The 6,894-nt window shown below is 44.9% G+C and overlaps 1 annotated feature.

Annotated features, from left to right (window-relative positions):
* Positions 430-929: an enhancer, noted in NCBI's record as "H3K4me1 hESC enhancer chr10:125034867-125035366 (GRCh37/hg19 assembly coordinates)". NCBI's record gives its function as "activates a minimal SCP1, AML or CMV promoter by ChIP-STARR-seq in naive H9 embryonic stem cells {active_cell/tissue: H9 hESC(naive)}" and the evidence as "EXISTENCE:reporter gene assay evidence [ECO:0000049][PMID:30033119]".

The raw sequence follows: 6,894 nt of genomic DNA, 5'->3' as shown, positions 1-6,894 counted from the left end.
GGTTCTAGGGCTTAGGACTTGATATATTCAGAGCGGTTACAGTCAGCCTGCCAGAGCCATTCTTACCTGCATTTTACAGATTAGAAAACCACTTCTCAAGCTGAATTAGAGTGAGAGTGCCCCAGAGTTGGGATCTGAACTCTAATGAATGTGGGATATGGATCGAAGGGATCCTTTTCTGACTGATACCTTTGAATAAAGGATGCACAGAAGCTCTAAAGAGACCCTTCTCTCTCCCTTCCCCCCGCCCCCCACCCCCAGAGCTGCTCTCTGGGAAGGAAGGCACCTCTGGAACATCTCCCGAACTTCACCTTGACAGATATTTCCAAAAAAAGAGTCTCATTTTCAGAAGACAAGAATGGGACGGACAAGGAAACAGGACAGGACAGGTGACTTCCATGGCCCTCCCTGTCCCAGTTCTGCCCTCCTGGGCTTGTGAGTCTCTGTTGAGCCAGGAGCCATCCTAGAGGCCCTGAAGCTCCCAGCCTTGCCCCTGCCATTCCTTTGAGGGACCCAAAAGCTGTGTGCACACTCCTCCACAGGGGATGGAATCTGCCCCTCCTCTTTCCCTTTTATTTCCAAACCTGCATCGGAGCCAACCCACCCAGCCTGGAAGGCAGATGTGAAACCCTCAAGGCTCAATTTACAGGAAGACCTCACCCATCAGCCCAGTTTGGACATGGGTTGCGGGAGGAAGGTGTGGGTTTTGCCACAAACTTAATTTCAATCTTTTTTAATTAGCCAAATTCAGGTGCATTGTTAATAGTGGTCAAATGGCTTGTTGGCTTCCTGCTTGCAGGTTTGGGCATTTAAAATTGACCCCCAGCCCTTCTGTAACAAGAAGCCCCTCGTGATGCCCCCACTCTCCGAGCCTGGCGTCAGATCCACATAATCCACACACTCGCAGCTCCCGGCTGCCTTCCCGCTCGCCGGCCGGGCAGCGGCTACCAGGCACATAATTGCAAAAGGAAAGGGCCGCTTGTTTGCCGGCTCTTCCGAGAATGATTAAAGGTAGAAGTTTTTCAGACATTAGCGACAGAAAGAGTATAGTTAAAGCTGCTTTAAAAAGGGAGAGGCATATAAAGAGATGGTACTCAAAGCACTATTAAAAGCATCATGCTTGTTAAAACCAGTAAAAAGGCAGGGAATCGGCGAGGGAAAGGCAGCTTCCTCTCCAATTACGGCGAGGGGCACACACCTTGACGGTGTCTTTGAATTGTGGCCGCCAGCCCCTGCCCCCTCCCTTTCCCCGCCGCCCCCTCCGCCGGGCCATTCATCCGTACATTAGGGAGGAGGTGGGAGGGTGGCAAGTCTCCCCCAAGCTCACTTCTCGCTTGTTACAGGCGACCCATTTAGAGCTGAATGACTATGTTCAGAGACGGCGCTAAATGACACCCTCCACCTCTTCATGAAGCCACTTGGTTTTGTCTTTTTTTTTTTTTTTTGTATCCCGGAGAAATAATTGATAAACCCAACGGCCGTCCACCTTAAAGGACGGCGCCTCCCTCTCGCCACCTGGTTAAAATTCCTCCTCCTCTCCCCACCTCCCTCCATCCATTTTGCTCTGTGCTGTTTAAACAATACTTCATCAAATGCAGCCTGGAGCAAATAAGAAAGCTCAGTAGAGTAAATAAAAAGTCAAAAAAAAAATCACCGGCTGGAGGGTAAGTACTTTTATTCCTGTACTTTCATTGCCTGGGGAATTATTATTCCATTGCCCGATCTGGGCGGGAGGGAGGGCCGTGTTATTCACAAAATGGATTGCTTCTCTCCCTTTTACTCCTCTGGCTCTCGAGAGCCCACTGATTACAACCAAGTGTGGCCATCCATTCCGTCTTATTGACAAAGGTCCTTAATTACCGCGGCAGCAGTAATACCTGCTATTAAATTCTGCTAAACAGAGGCCGCAAATTAGCTGTGGATCTCAGGCACCTTTTGTGTGTAATTACGGGGAGTGGGATTGACGGGGAGGCCGGATAACTGACCCTAGCCAGAGCAGCGGGGAAACCTTTGTTTATCACCTGCGGTGGGGGCCAAAATGTGAAATTAAAAGCTCTCCATCAGCTGAAGGCCTTCGGAAGGCCCAGGGGAAGAAGAAGGAAAAAAAGCAACAGGCCAAAGCAAACTGTGCTTACCGGTATTTATAAGCATTTCGCTTGACTGCAATTTACACTGACAGTTGATTAACCGAAAGCTCAACTAATTCCGTAGGTAAGTAATGCAAAGTCCAAAATGGCAAAAAATTTAGGCCATGTTTTAAGGTATATTCTATATTTCACAGGGCCTTTAACCTGCATTTAAAAGCCTGTTTAATGCAATTGCGAGCCATAAACACCTGTCACTTACAGTCTGCGCTTTTCACATCGCTCCTTCTGGAGACCCTGGATTAATGAGAACCATTCCAAATATGGTAGCTCTCATCTGCAGCCGGCCCAATTTATAAATTCATTCCTGACGCCTACTTGGTGTTTCATTGAAGGCAATTACTTTGGGGGAAATTTCATTTAAATATATTCAACTTTCCTTTCCATTAAGGTAGAGGTAGGGTTAGCAGCCCTGAGCTTGCAGGGAACAATGAGTGGTCAGAATGCAATAACTTAACACAAAACGCTTAACATCAAGATAATTAAATTTCATTAAGGTTTTAATCACTCTGAATGGAGGCTATTAAAATTCATGGGGTTCCTGTCACACTGTAGACAATGGGCCTGGGTCCTGAACAAGCCTGGAAAGCCCACTTCTAGCCTTGTCCCAGGAAACAAGCTTCTGAGGGCAGTGGAGCTTTTCCTCCAACTACCCAAGGGCTAGAGCGTGTTCTTGCACATGGTATGCGGGTCCCTCAAAGGTGGGATGTCCCAAGCCCAGCCTAGTGTTTAACTAGCTCTGTCTCCCCAGTAGCCCTCCATAGGTCTTGTTGGTGCCCAGTATGAAATCTGTTTCTGCCACTCATGAAATCACAGAAATCTTTGGACAGATGTTATTTGGCCCCATGCCTGCTGTGCACAGGTAAAATAGAACTTGAGGACCAAGGTAATGAAGATCCTCCTCACTCAGGTCTGGGCACAAACACCACAACCTCTGGGAAGCCTTTCCTGATTCTAGGCAAATGTAAGTGTTCTCACGCACAGCACAGTGGACAAAGTGCTTATCTGGAGTCATTTTCTTATTACACAGTAATTGTTTGTATGAAAATCTTCCCTTGACACACTGAGTTCCATGGAGGTAGGGACTGTGTCTTTGTCATATTTGGATTTCTAACCCCTAGTATACTGTGGGTGTTTGGTAAGGATGGATAGATGAACAGGTGTTTGGATGGAATGGATGCGTGGAGAGGCAGATGAGCAGATAGGTGGATAGATGGATGAACAGACAGATGGATAGCTGTTTGGATGGATGGATGGACAGATTTATTGATAGAAGGATAGATGGATGATTGGGCAGATAGATAAATGTTTGGGTAGATGGATGGGCAGACAGATGGTCAGCTATACAGTTTGACACAGATGACCTAAGGTCACAATGTAGCAGATCCCAGACCCCTTAACTCCATTTCTCTTTTCACTCAGCCTACAGTTGTCTCTTCTGCACACATGGCTCAGCTCAACCTCTTTCCTAACAATGAAATAATCTTGCATTGCCCATCATGTTCATACAGGTCCTTTAATCCTTTCCAGAAATTTCCATAGAATTTTTTTTTATCATGGCAATGAATCTTCCTTTGTTCCTTCACATATTCTCATCGATTTATTCATCAAGTATCTTCTCTAACAGGAACGATGCCCCTTGTGGAATACTGAGAGGTTCATCTCTGGCCCTCTGATACTTTTAGTCTAGGAGACTAGCCTAACTTTTGTAGCAGAGTGCGCATAATAAACTGGCTGATAGGGTAAAATCTGCTTCCTTCCATCACACAGCTAGAGGGGGCCCTAGAGATCCTCTGGTCCAACTTCTTCCAGACGAAATGGTACCTAACTGAAAACATCCTGTCTGAATTTATTGTTTCATTGGTTCTTGTCACCAATCAATTTGCTCTTATCAGGCAGAATGCCTCCTTTGAAATGTATGCCAGGCAGAAATTGGAGAATGTTCACAATTCCATGTGGCAAATGCTTGGAGATAAGCGAATTGGAGGACGTGCTCTGGGAGCCAGAGCAGCAAAAGGCAGGCAGGAATTTTCTAGGAAATGTATTAGTCGGGATTATCCAGAGAAACAGAACCAGCAGGATGTACAGTTGTCCCTCAGTATCCTCAAGGATTGGTTTCAGGACTTCCCTCAGACTCCAAAATCTACAGATGCTCAAGTCCCATAGTGTATTAGTTCCTTTTCACACTGCTATAAAGATACTACCTGACACTGGGTAATTTATGTATATATATATAGAAGAAGGATAAAGAGGTTTAATTGACTCACAGTTCCACATAGCTGGGGAGGCTTCAGGACACTCAATCATGGCAGAAGGCAAAGGGGAAGCAAGAACCTTCTTCACTGGGTGGCAGGAGAGAGAGTGCATGCAGGGAAATTGACACTTTTAAACCATCGGATCTCGAGAGAACTCCCTTACTATCCCAAGAACAGCGTGGAAGAAACCGCCCTCCTATTCTCCCTATCCTCGGGTTCCCCATCCCACAAATGTATTTTCAGTTGGATAGTTGGTTGAATCCATGAATGTGGAACCCACGCATACACAAAGCCAACTGTATAGAGCTATGTAGAAAGGGATTTATTATGAAGATTGGCTCCTAGAGACTGTCCCACAACCTACCATCTGCAAGTTGGAGACCCAGATAAGCCAGTAATGTAGTTCAGTCCATGACCAAAGGCCTGAGAACCAGAGGAGTTGATGGTGTAAATCCTATTCTGAAGGTGAAAGACCAAGGCCTCCACTCAAACAGGAAGAAAGGACAAATTATCCCTTCACCTTTTGTTTATTCAGGCCCTCAATGGATTGGAGGATGCCCACCCACATTGAGGAGGGTCATCTCCTTTACCGAGTCCTCCAGTGCAAATGCAGATCTCACCCAGAAACAATGTTTAGCCAAGTATCTGGGAACCCCATATTCAGTCAAGTTAACACATAAACTTAACCGTAACAGCAAAGGGAAGAAAGGTCCAATCCCAGCAGAGGGTCAAGTCAAGCTGGAAAAACTAAGCAAGTCTGTACAAATGGGATATAAAGTCACAGAGTCATCACAGAGCAAAGCTCAAAACCAGTAAACCAAGAGTCCTGGCACAGCTGTTCTTAGTCCCCGTGTGGTCTCACATGTCAAGGCTTAATTGCATGCCCTCTGATGGGAAGGTTGTCACAGAGAAGAGCCATAGACCAAGGCTGGGAGGAATGAAAGAATGTGGGCTGCCAGCTAGGGTTGGGGAGTGGGAGATGGAAGAGGAGACAGTGGTCAGGCCCCATTCAGAGGCCTTGAATGCCAGGTTAGGCGATTCGACTTGACTCTTTAGGGGACTCACCAAAGGGTTTTATGCAGGAAAGTAATGTAACATACAGGTCTTTGTTTAGAAAAGGTAGAGTTTTCCTTTTGGCCTGTTCATTTAGGATGTTGTAAAAATGGGAGAAATCAGAGGAGGGAAGACCAATTAGGAATTGTCCAGGCTAGAGGTGATTTTCAAAAACCCTTCTTCTAAAGCCAGGTTTAAAAGTTCCACACCTAAAAAGGGTACAAGCTGGTAGTTGAGGGGGATGAAGCAGCAAATAACACCAAAATTTGTTCCCTATTTATAAAATGAATCATCAGTGAGCTGCCATTCTCACTGTCTCAGCTGAGCTAATCTCATACCATAGCAAACCTCAACATTGTATTCCATTCTCTACTATTTGAGCTGATTCCAGTCTAAAGTGATTTCTGGCACAAAACCACAGCCAACAGAGTCCAACACTTAGAATAGCTGGGGTTTTAGAAGATAAAACCGAGAAAACCACACAAACTTAACCACAACAGCAAAGAAAGGGAAAATGTCCAATCCCAGCAGAGAGTCAAATCGAAGTGGAAAAGCTAAGCAAATCTGTAGACTTTTTATTCTTTTTTTTTTATTTTTTGGAGAGATGAGGTCTCACTAAGTTGCCCAACCTGGTCTCGAACTCCTGGCCTCAAGTGATCCTCCCACTTCAGCCTCACAAAGTGTTGGAATTATTGGCATGAGCCACCATGCTCAGCCCTGTACACATTTGAAAGGGGAAAGGTCACTCTAGGTCGTGTTAGAAATTATCAGAAGGCACTGATTATATTGTTAATAAGGCAACTAGGAATTTTAAAGGAAATTAAGCAGTATTGACTAAAGGATTTTTTTCCTAATTATCCCATTTTAGGGATAATCCTGGTTTCTTTTCTTTTCATGATCTAGTCCTCCCAGAGGACTATCTTGTACAATATGTTTTGTGGTGTGTTTGGAGTTTGAACTTTGGAATAAGGCCAAAAGGATAATTTAGTGATTGACTTTGCTCTCCTCAGGCTGCAATGCAGAAATTTGTGAGCCCATGGCCCAGACTCCTCACTACCAGGTCCGAGACAGCCCCTTCACAAAACAATCACACCCCATTCTGTGCAATATTTATAGGCTCAATTTTGGTTAAAGGTAAAAATTTTGTTTGGACACTCTAGAAGTCCTTCCTTAAAGGAAACTTTTGCACACCAAATAATCACTGTCAATTCCCATTTTACTTCCCCCTGTTGGTATAATTTTTGTAAAACTGGATCACATTTCTTCCAGCAATAAGAAGACAAGAAGATTCTGAAGAACTCTCTCCCACTCATTATACTTAGAAATGCTGGGTAAAATGCAGCCTCCCAAAAAATGTAATACACAGATACACTCTAAAGAAAGAAAAGGAAATCTCCAGGTGCTGAAGAGGTCACTTAAAACCAGAATGGCAAACACAGAGC

The sequence above is a fragment of the Homo sapiens genome, chromosome 10, assembly GCF_000001405.40.
Source record: "Homo sapiens chromosome 10, GRCh38.p14 Primary Assembly".
NCBI classification, from domain to species: Eukaryota; Metazoa; Chordata; class Mammalia; order Primates; family Hominidae; genus Homo; species Homo sapiens.
This window is presented reverse-complemented; position numbering and strand designations above follow the sequence as displayed.